General features: G+C 40.3%; 1 annotated feature.

Moving 5' to 3' along the window:
• Positions 240-754: an enhancer, noted in NCBI's record as "OCT4-NANOG hESC enhancer chr18:5038078-5038592 (GRCh37/hg19 assembly coordinates)". NCBI's record gives its function as "activates a minimal SCP1, AML or CMV promoter by ChIP-STARR-seq in primed H9 embryonic stem cells {active_cell/tissue: H9 hESC(primed)}" and the evidence as "EXISTENCE:reporter gene assay evidence [ECO:0000049][PMID:30033119]".

Below are 20874 nucleotides of genomic sequence, written 5' to 3' on the forward strand. Positions count from 1 at the left end.
CCTGAGGTCAGGAGTTTGAGACCAGCCTGCCCAACTTGGCAAAACCCTGTCTCTACTAAAAATACAAAAATTAGCCAGGCGTGGTGATGGGCACCTGTAGTCTCAGCTACTCAGGAGGCTGAGGCAGGAGAATCACTTGAACCCAAGAGGCAAAGGTTGCAGTGAGCTGTTGTCACGCCACTGCACTCCAGCCTGGGCAACAGAGTAAGACTCTGTCTCAAAAAAAAAAAAAAAAAAAAAAACAAAAATAAATAAATAAACAAGATACTGTCATAAGGTTCTCAGTAAATGCTGTCACCCAGTCACCTCCTAGTGACTGAGAGCTATTGCTCTGTAAAGGTTTAATCCCACAGACAAGACCTCAGAAGGCACAAGCTTAAATTATCTCATCACTTTTTACAGCTTTTCCCCAGCCCTGCTTCTGCAAAACAAAGGCAGTTATAACTATGGCTCAAGAGGTTGAGTGGGACTTCTGATCTTACCCCTGCTGAGAGGGAAAGCAAGAGACAAAGAAGCAATCAACGCTAGATTTTTTAAAGAGATGCAAACGATTTGGACCCAGACACCCTTCCAAGGCTTAGCAAGAGTTTTGTAAATGAAACTGAGCCTCACATCCTCTTTCCAGCTTTGAAAAGGAGGCCAGAAAGCAAGGTAAGGGAATCAGAGCAGGGATGGCTTAGGTAGCACTGTCAACAAAAAGAATCAAACTCTGTAAAATATTTGAAGAGATTTATTCTGAGCCAAATGTGAGTGACCGTGGCCTATGACACTGCCTCAGGAGATCCTGAGAACATATGCCCAAGGTGGCTGGGCTACTGCTTCGTTTTATATATTTTAGGGAAACATAAGATATCAGCGCACATGTAAGATGTACATTGGTTCAGTCCAGCAGGACAACTCGAAGGTGATGGAGATTGTTGGGGGAGGGGGCTTCTAGGTCATAGGTAGGGGGATTTAAGGATTTCCTGATTGGTAATTGCTTGAAAGAGTTTACCTAAAGACCTGGAATCAATAGGAAGGAGTGTCTGGGTTAGGATAAGGGGTTGTGGACACCAAGGTCCCTATTATGCAGATGAAGCCTCCAGGTGGCAGGCTTCAGAGAAAATAGATAGTAAATGTTTGTAATCAGACGTAAAAAGGTACTGGACTCAGTTAATTATCTCTTGGATCAACAAAAAGACCTGGAAAGGGAAGAGGATTCTCTATAGAATGTAGATTTTCCCCACAAGAGACAGCTTTGCAAGGCCATTTCAAAATATGTCAAAGAAATATATCTCAGGGTAAAATACTTCAGTTTCTTGCAGGGCCTGCTATCTCTCATGTTGGTATTTTATCGCTACAAAAAGTCTGTTTGGTCAGTCTTAAGGTCTGGTTTAATGTTAATGCTGATCAGCTGTGCCTGAATTCCAAAGGGAGGAAGGTATTATGAGGTATGTCCAACCCCTCCTTCCCATGATGGCCTAAACCGGTGTTTCAGGTTAACTTCAGAATGCCCTTGGCCAAGAGAAGGGGTGCATTCAGTTAGTTGTAAAGTTTAGAATTTTATTTTTGGTTTATAGCATTTATAAATGGAGCTCTCCCTGGAAAGTAGGGTTGAGGATTTTTCATCCCTACTGGAAACCAGTGAAGGGAGACACTCCAAGAGATGACTTGTTGAGATTGAGAGCAGCTGCAAGAAGGTGAGGCTGGCATCCACTGTATTGCCACACCAGTCCTTAGCCAGGACTACTCTACATGTAGCCAAGCAGCAAAAGAAAAACAAAAAAAGGAAAGGGGAAAAGGCAGACCAAAGAAAGGAGGAAGCACATTGCTATTATAGCAAGGACCCATGTCACAGTAGTGCAGGAGGGCTTGAGTAGTCTTGCTTGTACCCACCCAAGAGCTTTCTGCCAAGCAAGGCGACCCTCAAATATAGGCAGCTGCAGGGTGCAACACAGGGAGACTAGTGGTCCAAAAAACCAGTGATAACTTTTGAGTTCTTCGTAGGGTCTCTAAGTCACCAAAACATGCAATCTGATGTTAAATAATATATCCTGTGTCAAAGAATTGAACAATGGGGAGACTCTGAAAGTCCCTACAAAGAAACTCACACGTGTGCCAATAGAGACCTAACTTTTAGAAGCCTGCCACATGCAGAGCTTTGATAGCTGTTCAGAGATGCAGGAATAACAGACACAATCAAAGGAAGAAACACTTGCCCCCTTCTATCTCCCTCTTTCCTGTGGCTGTTCCCAAAGGAAAAGGGGGTCCCAAAGAGGGAAGAGACCTGGGAAAGCAGAGAACACTGTCCTGGCCTGGACTCTTTACACCTGAAGGTTACTGGCTGGCTCAGATGTGAGTAAAGTACAGAAGAGGGGGATTTGACTGAGCAAGTTTGAAGGTAGTGGTATAGACTCATATATCATAAAATCTTGCTACTCGAAGTACAGCAAGCAATGCGCATACAGCACTGACGTGGGCTGGGAGCTTGTTAGAAATGTAGAATCTCAGGGCCCATCCCCAGAAGTCCTGAATCAGAATCTTCATTGTAATACAAACTGGTGGTTTGTATACACATTAAAGTTTGAGAGGCACTATCCTAAAGGCTCAAAGAGGATTCTACCTTGGAGGTTTAAAATGTATCCAGGAGTTTGTTTTCTCTCTCATTTCTATTCTCTGTCTCTCTCTCCCTCAAATAAATATTTTTAACTTGAAATCAATAGGGAAGCATTGGAGAGACAAGGGCAAAAAGGGAGAACACTGAAAGAAAATTTAACCACCATGTGGGAAGCCATCTGCAGCCGACACGTTGCTGGCACGCCTCTGGCCCATATATCCACAGAGCAGAAGCTGACCAGGCAAGAACTCTTAGCAGGTTTTGAGGTCATGAGGTGCTGAGAGATGTACAGTCAGGACTCCCAGTACTGTGAGAGTCCAAGCATCAGATCACATCTGAAAAAGGAAGTGCCTTCATAATAACTTCAATCAAAATTAGCAGCAGGTGCCATCAGTGTCCTTTAGGACAAGCAGGTTCTCATTGCATAAAGACATACACACTTGGGGAGGAATCCAAACAGATTCTGGGGCCATGGCTTTTGATAAACATCAGTTGAGGCTGATCAGCAAAAACCAAGCCACCTGAGGTCATTGTAACACCCTCACCTTCATTTTGAGTTCTGAAGCTTACTCTTTTTTTGAAGCAACCATGATTTTGCATGATTGTAACAGAACACTAGGCAATAATTTTTTTAAAAAATTCTGTATTTCTTGTTACCTCCACCACCACGTAACACCAGGGAAGTCACAGTTTCTATGTACTTTGACAAATCTACTATAGCTTATTATCAAGATGAAGAGCATCAAATTTGGAGTTAGAGAAAACGGGGTTTGAGTCCCAGTTCTGCTGCTTAATAGCAAGTGATCTGGAATAGGTTTCTCTGAGAGACCTGCAAGAAATAGTTTCTGGCTGTTCTTCCACTTCCAGTACTTAATGTATTGAGAAGAATTATATAAATGGGACTGTGGAAAGAAAATGCCTATCAGAGAGGTGAGTTGCCCCAAGAAGTGATGCACACTAAAGCAATTAAGCAGCTGTAGCAAAGAACACTGGGTCACTGGCCACTGTGGGGACGCATTCTTCCCAGGCAGATCACGCATCCCAGAGGAAGCCCTGGGCATCTGGCAAGCAATTGTGTGCAGGCAGCTCCCAAGGAAGGCTGAGGAGCTTGCAGTATTAGTGAGTCCTGTATTCTTTATCACCAGTTGCTATGGTTCAAATGTGTCCCCCAGAAATTCATGTGTTGGAAACTTGATCCCCAGTGCAACAGTGTCGGAAGGTGGAGCCTGATGGGAGATGTTTAGGCCAGGAGGGCTCTGTCCTCAGGAATGGTTTAAAAAGAATTGTCAGGATCAAATGAGAAAAAGCATGTGGAGCTATTTTATAATACGGATATGGCTTGGCTGTGTCCCTACCCAAATCTCAACTTGAATTGTATCTCCCAGAATTCCCGTGTGTTGGGGAGGGACCCAGGGGGAGGTAATTGAATCATGAGGGCCGGTCTTTCCCATGCTATTCTCGTAATAGTGAATAAGTTTCACGAGATCTGATGGGTTTATCAGGGGTTTCTGCTTTTGCTTCTTCCTCATTTTCTCTTGCCCCAACCATGTAAGAAGTGCCTGTCACCTCCCTCCATGATTCCGAGGCCTCCGTTTTAATTGTAAGTCCAACAACACCTCTTTTTTTTTTCCCAGTCTCCGGTATGTCTTTATCAGCAGCATGAAAACAGACTAATACAAATATATAAAGGGCTATTTAGTACAGTAAAGTTTATGTAGGAAAACCATTTTATTTACATAGAAAGCATGAGAAAAAAACACAAATATGTTAGCAAAAGCTATGATATCTAAAAATCATTACAGGGCCAGGCAGAGTGGCTAACACCTGTAATCCCAGCCCTTTGGGAGGCTGATGTGGGTAGATCACTTGAGGTTAGGAGTTCAAGACCAGCCTGGCCAACATGGTGAAACCTCTTCTCTACTGAAAATACAAAAATTAGCTAGGCGTGGTGGCATGTGCCTGTAATCCCAGCTATTCAGGAGGCTGAAGCAGGAGAATGACTTGGACCCAGGAGGAGGAGGCTGCAGTGAGCTGAGATCATGCCACTGCACTCCAGCCTGGGCGACAGAGTAAGATTCCATCTCAAAAAAAAAATTGTTACATTACGTGTTATTCTTAATAAATTGTCCAAAAACCATAAGGGCTTCAAGGCAGCCTATGAGAATTTGTTTGACAAAAATATTAAGTAACAAGAATACCAGGAACATGAAAGCCATCTCTAGCCACTGCCTCTTCCTAAATAGTCTCTGTGTGCCCCACAGGAGCCAATAATAATTGGACATTTTCTATTCCCCATTCCTCAGGAATTCCCAATTTCACTCTACTTAACTTTAGGTCAGTTTCTATCAATCACTCAAGAACTATATTCTATTATTTTGGAATGAAATATATTTTGTTTTCCAAATATATTTTCCTTCTCATTTTCATTCAGAAGTTGGAGGCAATATGGCTTCCACTTTGATGGCAAGCTTCCTGGTTTGATCAAATTTGGCAAAAAACAAGAACAAATATTTCTGACCCAGAGCTAATGGCTCCAGGCTTCATATAACATTTGAAATAAAAGTCAGCTTTGAAATTCTTCCCTAATAAAATGTTTAAAGGTAATGGAATAAGTTATTTCAAATTTATATAATTTTTTTCAGAAATAAGCATAAACTCACTAATTTTTGTTAGACTTTATATTTGTAAACATTATTCAATTTTTAAACCTATATTACAGAAACGCTCAGACTGAGATCCTTGTACAAAAACTTGTGCACAAAAATGCTTATTCTCTTTGCCTAGAATGCTCTTTGACAAATATACACATGGCTTGCTTCCTCACTTTATCCAGATCTCTACTCAAATGTTGTTTCAGAGAAACAACATCCTGTCTAAATATAACAAACATCACTCTCTATTCCTCAACATTACTCTCTTAGTTTGTTTTCTGTTGCTGCAACAGAATACCACAGACTGAGTAATTTATAAAGAATAGAAGTCTATTTGGCTCATGACTCTGGAGGCTGGAAAATCCAAGAGCAGAGCAATAGCAGCTGGCTAGGGTCATCTTATGCCAGGAGGGTGGAAGGCAAAAATGAGTATACAAGACAGAGGGGAAAAGGAGGCTGAATTCCTGTGATAACTCATCCATCCCCATGATCAGGGCATTAATCCATTCTTACTCCCAAGGGGAAAATTAATTTATTGCTGACTTTTACCACATAGAATATTTACTGTTTCTTCACGAAAAAGAATAATGAACAGACTCACCATACCTTTGAGGCTTTCCCCTTTAAATCTAAATTGTCCTTTAAGCTGGGAGCCAGTACTGTAAGTAATGGTTTCTGTTGCAAGCAGGCAAGTTCAGGGCTCTGCTCTTATGAGCTAATCACCTCTTAAAGGTGCCACCTCTCTACACTGTTGGATTGGGGATTATCAACACATGAACTTTTAGGGGTCACATTTAACCCATAATAATTACTTTATTTTTAATTAGAGTATTCCTATCTAACATTGTATTATGTGTTTATTGTGTATTTACTTGTTTGCCTTCTGCATTTACATGAAAGCTTCATAAAATCAGCAATTTTATTAATTTTGTTTACTCTGTATCCTCAACTCCCAAAGAGTATATAGCCATACTAATTGCAGAACGAATAGATTCTTTTTATGCTTAAACTCATTACCCCTTCCAAGGATTGATATTCTTCTATATTTTCTTCTAGTGGGAAGATAAGTTAGAGATCATAAGGAAACTGAGGGCCAAAGTATAGCATGACTTTTTCAAGGTTACATACTTAATTTGTGGCCAGCCCAAGCCTAAAATCTGACTCCTAGATTCCATTATACCACACTGACTTTGACTTTCTAATCATATGATGATACTTCCACTTGAATAGAGTACAGCAGTTAAAAGCACAGGCTCTGACCTCAGACTGTCTGTTTTCAAATTCCATTTCTGATGCTTATCAGCTATATTTAGGTAAATTATGAGGTCTTCATGGCTCAGATTCCTTTTTTACACTGTAAGGGTAATAATAACCATGTCATGGAATTATTGTGAGCATGGATATTTCCTAGAACAGTAATTGGAACATAGTAATCATTCAATAAGTGCTTATTCACGTACTATTTCTATTATTCTCCTATTGCCTAGCACTGAATTTTTTACAGTGTATAAAGTTCTAAAATGTTCTTCTGTGAAATATTATTGAAAATTGTTGTTCGTTCCACCAAAATTCTGATTATTTTATTCTCAGAAAAAAATGCCTATAGCTATTTACTATGTCCACCATTATAACTATACAAGCATATCGATGGCATATACTGAAAGATTTGGATTTCAAAAATAAAAAACTACAAAAAAAGGAGTGTTTTGCTTTGTTTTGTTTTGTTTTGAATTGACCATATTTCTGCTTTATCATATTCCCTGAGACACAAGACAACTTCGGTCCATTTCATGTAAGTTTCTTACTCCCAAGGGGAAAATTAATTTATTACTGACTTTTACCCAAAGTCAGTAATAAACCACTTTTTACCACTTTTACTACTGTTTTTTCAATAAACAAGATGATGTACAGACTTACCATATCTTTGTGGGTTTTGCCCTTAAACCCAATCTGTCCTTTAAGTTGAGAGCCAGTTCTGTAAGAAATGATTCTGTTGCAAGCAGGCAAGTCAAAATTTGACTGCATTCTCAAGTTTGATTCTGTGTTTCATTTATAGTTTATTTTTCTAATATATCTTCTTGGTTCCAACAGTTAAAATATTAAGAGGATCCCCTCATATTCCTAACAATGAGCAACATCAACATTCCATGAGGATTTCCAGTGCCACTGACAACTAAAATCCAGGACTGAAAAAGCTTCAGCATTAGGCCTTAGAAAATTAACTAATGGCAGACAGATTGAAGAAAGTAGTCGAAACTTGAAGAGGCGGTCCATACACAGATGAGTTTAGCAGTATTTGTTTTTCTGTCTCTCCTCCATGCTTTGAAAACAGGGTGGCCCCAGTCATGGAACTGCATAGCAAGGGCAGCAGCGAAACTATCAACCCATTTTTTTCTGACCTGAGGAGCAAGGAAAAGGAGACCTTGTGTTCCAAAGAATAGAACAGAAATTTTTTTCCTCTTGCCACTTTGCACCAAGGGTGACTCCAGTTGCCAGAATGAGGAGAGCTGGAGAAGCACATCCCCTAATTCCATGTAGAAACTGGCACAATGCCTAGACTCCCTCTTGAGAGACACATGTGGAAAAGACACAAAGTAGCATAGCAAAGACTTTAAGATCAAAACTACAATATAAACCACCATCCAAGTCTAGGCCAACTGCTCAGTGGACCAAGCCTTTATAGCAAAGGCTTTGAAATTCAAATGACATTATAACTACCATCCACAGAAAGATAGATAGAACATACAGTCTGAGCCTAATTGGTTTGATTGTCTGCTAAAATAAATACAAAAACTCAACATTTTTCAGAGAATTTTAATAGGACTCAGAGTTTTACAATGCAATATTGAAAATATCTAAGATGTAATCTAAAATCACTCAATATATAAAGGCCCAAGGAAACATGAAAAATTCATAAGTGCAAAAACAATTAATTGATGAAAACCCCAAATAGCCTAGATTTCAAAATCACCAAAGACATTAAAGGAGATATCATAACTGTACTTCATGAGGTAAAGTGTCTTGAATGCCAGACATTCTCATAGAGAAATAGGAACTATAATGATATGGTTTGGCTTTGTGTCCCCACCCAAATCTCATCCTGAATTCTAATCTCCAGGCGTTAAGGGAGGGGCCTGGTGGGAGGTGATTGGATTGTAGGGGCTGTTTCCCCCATCTTGTTCTCATGATAGTAAGTGAATTCTCATGAGAGCTGATGGTTTTATAAGGGGCTCTTCCTGCTTCACTTTCTCTCTCTCACCTGCTGCCATGTAAGATGTGCCTACTTCTACTTCTGCCACAATTGTTAAGTTTCCTGAGGCCTCCCCAGCCATGTGGAATTGTGGTTCAATTAAACGTCTTTTGTTTATAAATTATCCAGTCTTAGGTATTATCTTTATGGCAGTGTAAAGATGGACTAATACATATAAGAAGAAGCAAATGGAAAATTTTAAAACGATAAATTTTAAAAATAATGCCTGAAATAAGAAGTTTGCTAAATGAGCTCAGTAACAGAATGGAGATAGCAGAAGAAAGAATCAGTGAATTTAAATATTGATCAATTGAAATTTTTCCATCATAAGAACAGAGAGGAACATGATTGGGATAAAAATGAACAGAGTTTCATAGATCTGTAAAACTGTATCAAAATGTGGAGCATTCATACCATTGAAGCCCCAGAAAAGAAAAAATGCGAGTGATACAGAAAGAATATTTGAAGAAGTATGTGTTATATTTTTTCAGATGCCCACTTAATTCCAGAAATGATTTACATTCTTACACAAATACATGTAACATATATTATCATCATCATTATTATTCCTATTATTGTTTAATGAGTAGGTGAAGATATTAAGATAAGGAAATAATGAAGACTAGAAAGAGAAGATGAAGCCAGTAGTGAAGTCTATAAACTAAACAAATCTCCTGAGGTCTTATATATTTTCTAGAGGTGTACCACCAATTTGGATTTCGGCTTTTCTAGTAGCCAACCAGAAGGAGGAAAGAGGGTCAGGTATTAAGAGTTACAGTGGCTGTACAGTGAAAATAACCAAGCGCTTAGAAGCAACTATTATTCCTGAAAATAAGATCACAAAGAAATTTCTCTCATCCATTCCCAGAAAGAAAACACTATACAACATCTTCTACATCTTTCCTATAGTGAAACAGCAATGAATTTCAAAAGGCTACTTCCCATAACATCTATCTTAGTCTGCTCAGGGGCTATAACAAATATACCATAGACTGGGCAGCTTAAACAACAAACATTTATTTCTCACAATTCTGGAGGCTGGGAGCCTGAGATTAGGGTGCCAGCATGGGTGAGTTCTGGTGAAGGCTCCCTTCCTCTGTACACAGATGGCTACCTTCTCACTGTATTCTCACATGGCAGCAAAAGAAAGGAGCAAGCTCTCTCATATCCCTTCTCATAAGGGCACTAATGCCACCACGAGTCAGAGGTGAAGCTGGCTGGTCTTCTGGGTCGGGTGGAGACTTGGAGAACTTTTCTGTCTAGCTAAAGGATTGTAAACACACCAATCAGTGCTCTGTGTCTAGCTAAAGGTTTGTAAATGCACCAATCAGCACTCTGTAAAAACAGACCAATCAGTACTCTGTGTCTAGCTAGAAGTTTGTAAACGCACCAATCAGCACTCTGTAAAAATGGACCAATCAGCACTCTGTAAAATGGCCCAATCAGCAGGATGTGGGCAGGGCCAAATAAGGGAATAAAAGCTGGCCACCCCAGCAAACCACCCTAGTGAGCAGCAGCAACTGGTTCGGGTGCCATTCCACGTTGTGGAATCTTTGTTCTTTTGCTCTTTACAATAAATCTTGCTGCTGCTCACTCTTTGGGTCCACACTACCTTTATGAGCTGTAACACTCATTGCCAAGGTCTGCAGCTTCACTCCTGAAGTCGGCAAGACCACGAACCCACCAGGAGGAACGAACAACTCCGGACCCACCACCTCTAAAAGCTGTAACACTCACTGCGAAGGTCCGTGGCTTCATTCTTGAAGTCTGCGAGACCAAGAACCCACCAGAAGGAACCAATTCTGATCACATAAGGACTCCACCCGCATGACCTAATTACCTCCTGAAGGCACCATATCCAAATGCCATCACAGTGGGGGTTAGGGTTTCATTATGTGAATTTTGGAGTGACACAAACATTCACTCATAGGAACAGCCTTCCACTGTGTTCAGTATCACCTTTAGGTATAAGCAGGCGAGGGGCCCCTGCTGTGGGACTATGTGCTTGTGTCCTTCAAGATTCAAATGTTGAAAGCCTAATCCCCAGTGTGATGGCATTTGGAAGGTGGGGTTTGCAGGAGGTAGTTAGCATTAGATGAGGTCATGAGGGTACACTCTTCATGATGGAATTAGTGCCCTCATAAGAAGCAGAAGGGACCAGAGCTCTCTCTTTCCACCATGTGAGAATACAATAAAAAGATGGCCATTTACAAGCCAGTAAGAGGGCCCTCACCAGAGCCCTACCATGCTACACCTTGATCTCAGACATCCAGCCTCCAGAACTATGAGGAAACACATGTTTGTTCTTTAATCTCTCAAGTCTATGGTATTTTGTTATGGCAGCTGGAATAGAATAAGACAGCCCACTCTTGAGAAAGCCTGCTCCAGCTCTTCCCCAACTGTCCTCTTTCCTGAGACAAAAAGTCTGGGCTGAAGCTTCAGTGCCCAGCTAGAATCTCTACTACTCCTTCTGGTCTCATGACAGGTGCTCGGTACTTTAGAAACACCTGTGGGCGGATGCTGTGTGCCCCACCCAGATGCCCTGAGGACTAAGGACTGGCTATCCCAACAGCTGTGTGCTGCAGCAGACTGCCGTTAGTGCTCATTGCCCTCAAAATTACTTCCACCAAGAAAATCACCTCACCCAAGGTCACACTCCTTCCTGGAGCAGCCCACAACCAGTGGCTGAAGTACTAAGGCCCACCCCCAGCTTAGGACAACCCTGAAGGACCATCCAAGCTCCAGAGCTTCCCTTGGGATCAGCAGAGGCTTCTACTGACACTGCATCACAACCCTCCTCTCTGTGCCCAAACTTCCTTCCCCCTAGCCCTTCATTTCCACAGAGGCTGATCCCAAAAGAAGTCCAAAATAAATCTCATGGACAGTGATCACAATTTCTGAGTTTGCCTGTGGAGAACCCAACCTTGATACCTGCCCTAACAACCCTGACGGCAGTTGCTAGGGCTAAGATGCACTACCCAGCTACGAGGGGTGGTCACGTGATAGCTGGTCTTGACAGGTTATGGCTGGGGCCTGGGTGCCCATACTTATGCAAGAACTTTGTAGTTGAGAGATGGAACCAGGGGTAGAAGAGGAGGGGCCAGGTGACAGGACAGCCCTCACTGTCATCTGCCTCCAGAACATCACAGAGTCCACTTTGAAGGTCTATTTGGCAAGATAGAAGGAGCATATACAAATATTTTATTTAAAAGTTTGTTAGCTCAGCTTATAACTTTTAAATATTCGGACATACGGTATGTGGGCCTCACAAATATTAGGGATAGAACTAAGTAGTATTAGATGCAATTCTGTCTTATCACTCTCTCAAACATATGCCTATCTGATTTCTGAAATGTTTAAGTGCTTCCAAGGACACTTCTGGTCCCTACATTAAGACTATTCCCCTTGAGGATTATGATCCGATTGGATTCGTCTAAGAACAAAATCCTTAGGGTCTATGCTACCAGCAGGATTTTGAGTGACTTAAATCACCAACTTGCTATGACATTTACAGTGTATTATCCTCTTGGGTGATGACAGATAACGCCCACCTTGAACAAATATCTTAGTTAAGTTTAGTAGATAATGGTTGTTCCTGAGGATTAGAGGTGGGTGAGGGTTAGCGCCTCTACAACTCTGCTACTAAGTCGTAATGAACGCAAGCCTCAGAACACACAGCCCAACATTTATGAAACAAACGTTTATAAAGAAGCATGTTTATGACATGTATTGTAAGCTCAATGAGTATCGCTTTAGGTGATCCAACCACATAGATTCATCCAAGGCAAGTGCCACACATTCTATACAAAATATTCTATTAAGCTCAGTCTGCATCAGGCCACCGGATTGCTCCCAACGTCTGGACCCAGGTCTGTAAAAGGAGAGAAACGTTAGTGAGTCCTCATTAGATTCATGAATCCAATCAGTACAAAAGGAAAGGAGAGTCTTTATATAATTTGATTAAGCCACATGATCTAGAATAGTAAGGGGTGTCTATTTTTAACACATTTGCATAACCCATTATGTGAATTAACAAATCACATAATTTAGCAATGAAAATGTATTTCTAGCATTATTGTACCATTGAGAAAAGCCTCCAGTGTTGATGTAGATAAAAGCGCTCAAGATCTTTAATAATCACCTCTGGAGTGTGGCTCTAATAAAATGATGGGATTACTGGAATGGTCAGTTAAAATGAACTAATACACTCATTTATGTCATACTCTCTCTGCTGAAGCATTTTGAAATAAATTACAGTCATCCTACCACCATTTTGTGTGGCATATGAGTCACATATGCTATGGCTTTTCCAATAGCCCATAGCTGAGCTCCCATGTTTGAATATGACTCGATGTAGTCTTTGTGGCCAATCTTTATCACTGATCTATTTGTGATGTTCAGGAAACCAACACTTGAAAGATGACCTTGCCTATAAAACAAATGTAATTGGCACCTACCAAATATAATAATATTCAAATAGTGGATGTGAAACCTTCGGAAGACCCAGGACTCTCAACTCCGAATAAACCACTGTAGATCCGATGTTTAATTTGAACTACAGTGTCAGTATTCTGTGTTCTGACAAACGTTTTGCTATTAGGTTAGAACCGCGATCACTTTTGCACCAACCTAATATTTAAAATGAGACATTTTGTTGAGTAATATGTATCTTCTGTCAAATCATTACATTGGGACTAGCCATCAATGTCACCACCATATAATAGGGCAAATTAATACCATATATACAGGCGCTCCTTGACTTGCAATGAGTCCTGATAAACAACACTGTAAGGTGAAAATGCATTTAATACACCTGATCTACTGAACATCATAGCTTAGCCTGTCCTTCCTTAAACGTGCTCAGCACACTTACATTAGCCTACAGTTGGCAAAATCATCTCATACAAAGCTTGCTTTAAAATAAAGTGTTGAATATCTCATGTAATTTATTGAATACTATGCTAAAAGTGAAAAACATAATGATTGTATGGATACTCAAAATATTGTTTCTACTGACCGCAGGTCACTTTAGCACCACTATAAAGGTGAAAAATTCTAAGTGAAACCAGTGTATGTGGTGTGTGTGGTGAACAGAGGATTCAAAGTCAAATCAGAACATAAATAGCACCAAGGGGACTGCAATTAATAGACATTTATGAAACTTAACTTTAAAAGCAATATGTTCAATAGTTCATTTGATGAATGCTTGTACACATCCTTACTCAGTCCTTCCAAACCAAGCACCCTAAAAGTAGAAACGATGGTGGTGATTTCATCAATAATTTGACAAATGAAAAGTATTCTCGGAAAGCACTTCTTTGGACAGCTGGCAGCCAAATAACAGAATTAAGTGTTAGCTTTCAGCTGCATGGCTGTATTTAGCGTTGCTGGTTATCAATAGTCCATTACAGCACAGCACCCCTCCCAGAACACTCACATGTGTTTGAGTGAGATCAATTCAATTTTATGTAAACTTAGTATAACTTCTAAATGACTATCTCTAAGTAACTATTAAAGCAGAAGCAATGCCATAAATGCCAAACTAACCAAGCCACACAAACTCTATTTACTTCCTTGAGTAAAATTTCAGGGAGAAATGCACTTATTTGAAAATCAGTCCCATTACTCAATTATTTGAAATTTTATCTCAGTAGATTCAAGTAATATTTCTTTATCCCAGACCTGTCTGTCTTCATCACACGTGACTCAGCATCTGCTGGGCAAGCTGTTGATGGCACATCATGAATGCATCTCATCCTAACTGCATAGTCAGAAGACAAATAGTTGAAGTCCCATCCAGGACAATAGCCACTACCTTCTTGATGTTAACCTTGTTCTGCCACCACCTACCTCAGAGTGGCTGGCAGAGATTATAAACTTCTCCTGATGCAATCAGGCAGATTAAAGGTCACAGGGACCACAACAGAAATGTTTCAACAGCAGACTTGTGATGGTTAATTTTTGTGTCAATTTGGCTAAGCCATGGGTCCCGGATATATGGTCAGACATTATTCTGGATGTTTCTGTGAGGATGTTTTTTGGATGAGATTAAAGTTTAAATTAGTGGGCTTTGAGTAAAGCATCCTCCATGATATGGGTGGGCCACATCTGGTCAGTGGAAGTCCTGAATAGAACAAAGACTGACCTCTCACAGCAAGAAGGAAATCATTCACCTGCACACGGCCTTCAGGCTTCAGTGGCAATGTCAGTTCTTTCCTGGGACCCCAGCCTTCTGAACTGCTCTGATGATTTTGATTTTGGACATGCATCTCCATAATCATGTGAGTCAATGCCTTAAGATAACGATCACTGGGCAGGCACCCACACACATCCTACTGATTCTGTTTCTCTGGAGAACCATGACTAATGCAATACTCTAGCGCATAAGTGCTTATCTCATGGGGCAGCACAGCTGTGCCCTCAGGACTCAGTGTGATTTCACCTGCATAAATCCTGTAGTTCCTGGGACATTTGAACAAGGGTGAGGTGAGAAAGATAGCCTTTCTTGGTCTACCCACTCTGCTTGCTAAAACATATTTACAAATGCCGTGAATTTGATCATTCTGTAAATATATTCATGGCTTATGTGAATGTAGCCACAGGTATCAATTTCTTTCAGAAAAGCAGGAAAAGTCTACATTCAAGACATCAATCTTATCTCTCAACGGGGCATAATGGATGTCTATGCTACTTTTAAAATCATTTTGGTCACATTGTTCATAGCACACAACAAATACAAATACAGTCATGCACTAAATAATGATGTTTTAGTCAATGAGAGATCACATATACAACAGTGGTCCCATAAGATTAGAATACCCTATTTTCACTGTTCCCTTTCTTTGTTTAAATATGTTTAAACACATAAATACTTACCATTGTGTTCCAGTTGCCTACAGTATTCAATACAGTCCCATGCTGTACAGGGTTGCAGCCCAGGGGCAATAGGCTACACCATCTAGCCTAGATGTGCAGTAGGCTCTGCCATCTAGGTTTCTGAAGTGCACCCTATGAGGTTCACACAACAAAATCATCTAGCAATGCATTTCTCAGAATGCATCTTTTTTGTTAAAGGACACATTACTATGTATTTTTTTAAATTATTCATCTGAAAACAATAACAAAGGTCAGTAAGTAGCAATAATTTCTAGTTACTGAAGACTAGATACACCCAGGACACGAGATATACACTTCCCGGTCTAGTAGAACTCAGAGCAGGCCAGGAAGACTGTTTCACTTGACCACCCACAAGCTGTGATGTCTCCAGCAAGACAGTTCCAGGAGCCTCAGTGCCTCACTATGGTCAACCTGGGCATAAGAGATTTTTCCAGGTGCTATTTTGGAAATGCAAATGGATAATTTTGCTGACAGTTTCAATTTCTAATGTCCTACAAACAAGCTGAAAATAGTAGAAGTTAGATGAGAAATACACCATTATATCATCCAATTTAGCTGCCAAAGGCCAATGCCAATGTATTCACAATTATGTAACATTTTACAATTCAGAAAAAAAATTTTTACAAAAATTATTTCTTTTTGAGACAGGGTTTTGCTCTGTCCCCCAGGCTGGAGTGCAGTGGGACCGTCATGGATCACCACAACCTCAAACTCCTGGGCTCAAGTAATCCTCCCACCTCAGCCTCCCAAGTAACTGTGACTACAGGCACATGCCACCATGCCTGGATAATTTTTTATTTATTTATTTATTTATTTATTTTTGTAGAGATGGGATCTTGCTATGTTGTGCAGGCTGGCCTCAAACTCCTGGGCTCAGGCAGTCCTCCCACCTCAGTCTCCAAAAGTGCTGGGATTATAGGCATGAGCTATCATGCAAGGCCAAATTATTTCTTTTTATCCTTGCCAAAATCCTAAGATGGCAAGCAGGTAGATAACATCCTCATTTTACAACTAAGCAAACTAAGGAAGAGGCTACTTAGGTGACTTGCCCACCGTCACCCAACTAATAAGTTGTGCATTCAGTACAAAAACCCAGGTAACGTTATTTTTAATACCCTACAGCGAATTTACCTAGTGACTTACATTCGCCTAAACTCGGTAAATTTTATAATATTTTGCTAATTAGAAAACTCTAAATTAATAAATTTACTTGTAAGTAGTCAAATGTTTATTTGATGAAATAATAAATAAACAAAATATCTTGAAGGAAAAGCAGCTGCTATTCTCAAATACACACAGCAACTGGATCTGAACTAGCAAAAGTCTGCTGGCAAAGATCTTTAGAAAATCTCCTACAACAAACAGACACATAGTCCTTTATGATTAGTGTTTGTCAATTATGTATATAAAGGACCCTGCTAGTAAACAACCCTGAACCTTTGTCAACCATGAATGGGTTTGCTTAAGCAAATTGTTGATGTAAAAACAATTCAGTCAAATCCTACGGGAATTATCACAAAATTAAAATCAGTAGATCCTGAGCCTAGAGTTTTACGGTCTTAGGTGTGCTTCCTTCTCAGCTTTCCTGTAGCTAAATTATTAGCATACTTTCCCAAGGTTTAACCTTTGCTTTTCTTTCTTGATAACATAAAAAAATCCCCATGGAAATTAATTAGGATTATAAAAATAAATGACCAATGACAGTTTTATAATACTGAGCGTTGTTGCTATTCATACTCTTCCTTTGTGACATTATGCAAGATGATCATTTCTGCCCTAATTTCCCTCTCTACTACATGTATCCGAAAAGGAAAGTTTAGCATCAAGAAGGTCAAAGCAGAAGAAAGTAGGAATTTTGCAACCACTACAAAGATTAAAAGCAGAAACTGCTTTGGTAAAATGTAGCTCCCTTGAGCTAATCCAAAACTGGGTTTCCATCTAAGTGTTTCTAGTTATTTCTATTTTCTTGATTTTATAACAGACTTGTTATGATATATCTATACTCTTCCAGTAATTGGATCTGAAGGAAAGGATCCCTTATGTTAAAAGGAGAAAAAATGCAAATATAATCCACGGCATTGAATATCAAGTGAGATATGAAAAGCCTCAGAGAAGAGGAAGGTAGGAGTGAATTGCAGGCCACGGCCCAGTGGAAAGTGGACTGAAGGGAGCAGTCAGAGGCTAACAGTGTGGCAAGAGTGTGAGAGATGTCTTAAGAGCCAAAAAGAAAACCTCAAAGAGAAGCAGTGGTGATAAAAAGGATGGAGCAGAGACTTGGAAGCAAGAATATGAAGCTCAATTTCTGGAAGAATACAGATATTCCACTGATAGAAAACTTGGTTTCCATCCTAATTTTAAAACCTCAAAATGTTCAGCAGTGGATATTTCAAACTCCTACCCACAGTATGATGAAGTGGCAAATCACCCTGGCCAACATGTCAGAACACCTGTGTTTTTCCGTATGTTCATTTCCAAAGAACAGTGCTCTTTATGGACCATGTGTATTGTGTCAAGATGGCTATCAAAACCAGACTTCCACCAATCCCACTCACCCCTAATAGATAAGTGCTCTTGGGGAAGCCAACGCTATTCAGACAGAACTAGACTATACTAGAGTACTTCAAAGATTCCTTAGAGATTTAATGTCATACAGATTCTAGATGTACTTCTAAAACTATATCCCCATGGCTTTTTATAACTTTAGAAATGACTGTGACTAGCCTAACTCACCCCTTATCAACACTGGTAATCATTTAATAGAGAAACATGAGTGTACTTCTGATTAGGAAACAAACTAATGCTGTCAGTAGTTACTGAACACAATCTTTTTTCATCAATTTAACTAATGTCCAATTGTGTTTCTTTGACACTGCCCAGTGCATTTGTTTTAGCACATTCTTTAAAGTGGTCAGAAGAGGACTGGCAGGGTGGTTCACACTCTGGGTTGAAGCAGGGCTCCATTTGTACTGGGGGTAAGTAGGTATCTAAGATGTCTGGGGGATTCTAATGAATGCAAACACCTCTAAACTACATTGAAATCCTGAAGTAAGCCAAGGCCATGTATACATAACTGGAGGTTGATTACAAAATAAAATGTTTGGGGCTGGGCATGATGGCTCATACCTGAAATCCCAGCACTTTCAGAAGCTAAAGCAGGAAAATCACTTGAGGCCAGGAGTTGAAGACCGACTTGGGCAACATAGTTTAAAATTATTTTTTAAATTTTTTTTTAAAAATTATTTTTAAAATAGCTGGTCACAGTAGTGTATGCCTATAGTCCCAGCGACTCAAGAGGCTGAGGCAAGAAGATCACTTAAGCCCAGGAGATCGATGTGGCAGTGTAGTGAGCTATAATTTCACACTGCATTCCACCCTGAATGACAGAGCAAGACCTTGGATCTTAAAAATAAAAAAAAGTAAAACATTTGGAGTGAGATAGTTATATCTGTGCATCAGAGAAAAACAGTGGTAGAGGGAACTCTTACACACTGTTGGTGGGAATGTAAATTAGTACAACCTCTAGGCAAAACAGTATGGAGATTTCTCAAAGAACCAAAACTAGAACTACCGTTCAACCCAGGAATCTCACTACTGGGTATCTACTAAAGGAAAATAAACAGTTCTGTCAAAAAGACATCTGCACTCTTACGTTTATGACAGCACTATTCACAAAAAAAAGTCATGGAATCAACCTAAGTGCCCATCAATGGTGCGTTGAATAAAGAAAATTCCATATACACCATGGAATACTATACGGCCATAAAAAGAAGAAAATCATGTCCTTTGTAGCAACATGGATGCAGCTTGAGGCATTATCCTAAGTGAATTAACACAGAAACAGAAAATCAAATATCACATGTTCTCACTTATAAGTGGGAGCTAAACAATGGATACACATGAACATAAACATGGAAAAAATAGACACTGGGGACTCCAAAAATGGGGACAGAGAGAGAGGGGAAAGCGATGAAAAACTACTTACTGGGCACTATGTTCACTGTTTGCGTGATGGGTTCTGTAGAAGTCCAAATCCCAGCATTATGCAGTATAGTACAAACCTGTGCATGTGGCTCTTGAATCTAAATTTTTTAAAAATGAAGTGTTTGCCATTCTCTGAATTGGCTGTGGATTTGGCTTATTCTGTGCCTTCTATTTCCTGCTCCTCCTCCAAGATCCAATAAGTCAGAATCCATCCTAGCAGTCAACCCTCCTTGACATACCAAGGGATGTGGACAGGAGGGCAGGAATAGCACTGTAAGCTCAGACCTCTTCTGGCTGTCCTGACACGCCCCTCTCCTCTTCCCTACTTCCTCCATTCTGCTGCCTGGTTTATCTCTTAGCCTTTCACTTTCCAACCCGGCGTTCTGGCTCCTCCGACCTTCCGCCTGTCCCTGTGATTTTTTCGCCATGCAACAACTCTTTATTAAAATGACCCTACTTCCTCTATCCAGATTTTGCTTGATTTTGCTTTAATTTGCTTACCTCCTTTCTCAGGTCCTCATGACTTCTCCTAGCTACTTTATTGTCCTCTGATCTGATGCTTTTTCCCACATAGGAAAAGCTACTAATTGAATCCCAGCTTCTAAGCCATTGCCCACTAACCTCTCTTGAGACTCAAGAGACCTCACCAGCTGGCTGAGCCTGGAGACCTTGAAATCCAGAGGTGGCTACTGCAGGCTCTTCCCGGGTCGTGCCTGCCATCTTGTGGATATAAATGGTAACTACACCGAGGCTGGGCTCAAAACCCCCTTAAGGATCAAAGGACTTTGTTCCCTTAGTTAAAAACAAAAGTCCATGTTCTCACTCTTAGGTGGGAATTGAACACTGAGAACACACGGACACAGGAAGGGGAACATCACACACCGGGGACTGTTGTGGGGTGGGGGGAGGGGGGAGGGATAGCATTAGGAGAAATACCTAATGCTAAATGACGAGTTAATGGGTGCAGCACACCAGCATGGCACATGTATACATATGTAACAAACCTGCACGTTGTGCACATGTACCCTAAAACTTAAAGTATAATAATAATAAAATTTTTTTAAAGAGTACCTTAAATGCTGCCTTTTGCATCATGTCTTTGACTGGTCATTCCTGTCAAAAGGAATTGATCTTGCTTCTGCAGTCCTGAGGGTCTGCTCCATACTGATCCTGACGAAGGCATTAGGGTACCAGTCTCACATCTTCTATAAACCCCTCTATCCTTCAGAGCTCTTAGCTTTTTCACAAGCGCTTACTAAATGTTCTGGAAAGTTGAGAATCTAAGCTATTCAAACCATGGACCTATGATTAACTTGGAGGTGACACCTTAATTGTAAGTCAAATGCTGCAATCCTTTGCTTACCAATAAATTAGATTCCAAAAGGCTATTTTTAGATGTATGTGTTTGTGAGAAAGTTAAGCTTGCAGTCTCTTGATGTATTTCCACTAAATAAGAGTGTGAATCAGTCCTTTGAGGTTTTAAAACAAGGCATATTCTC

This window comes from Homo sapiens, chromosome 18 (genome assembly GCF_000001405.40).
Source record: "Homo sapiens chromosome 18, GRCh38.p14 Primary Assembly".
In the NCBI taxonomy this organism is placed as follows: Eukaryota; Metazoa; Chordata; class Mammalia; order Primates; family Hominidae; genus Homo; species Homo sapiens.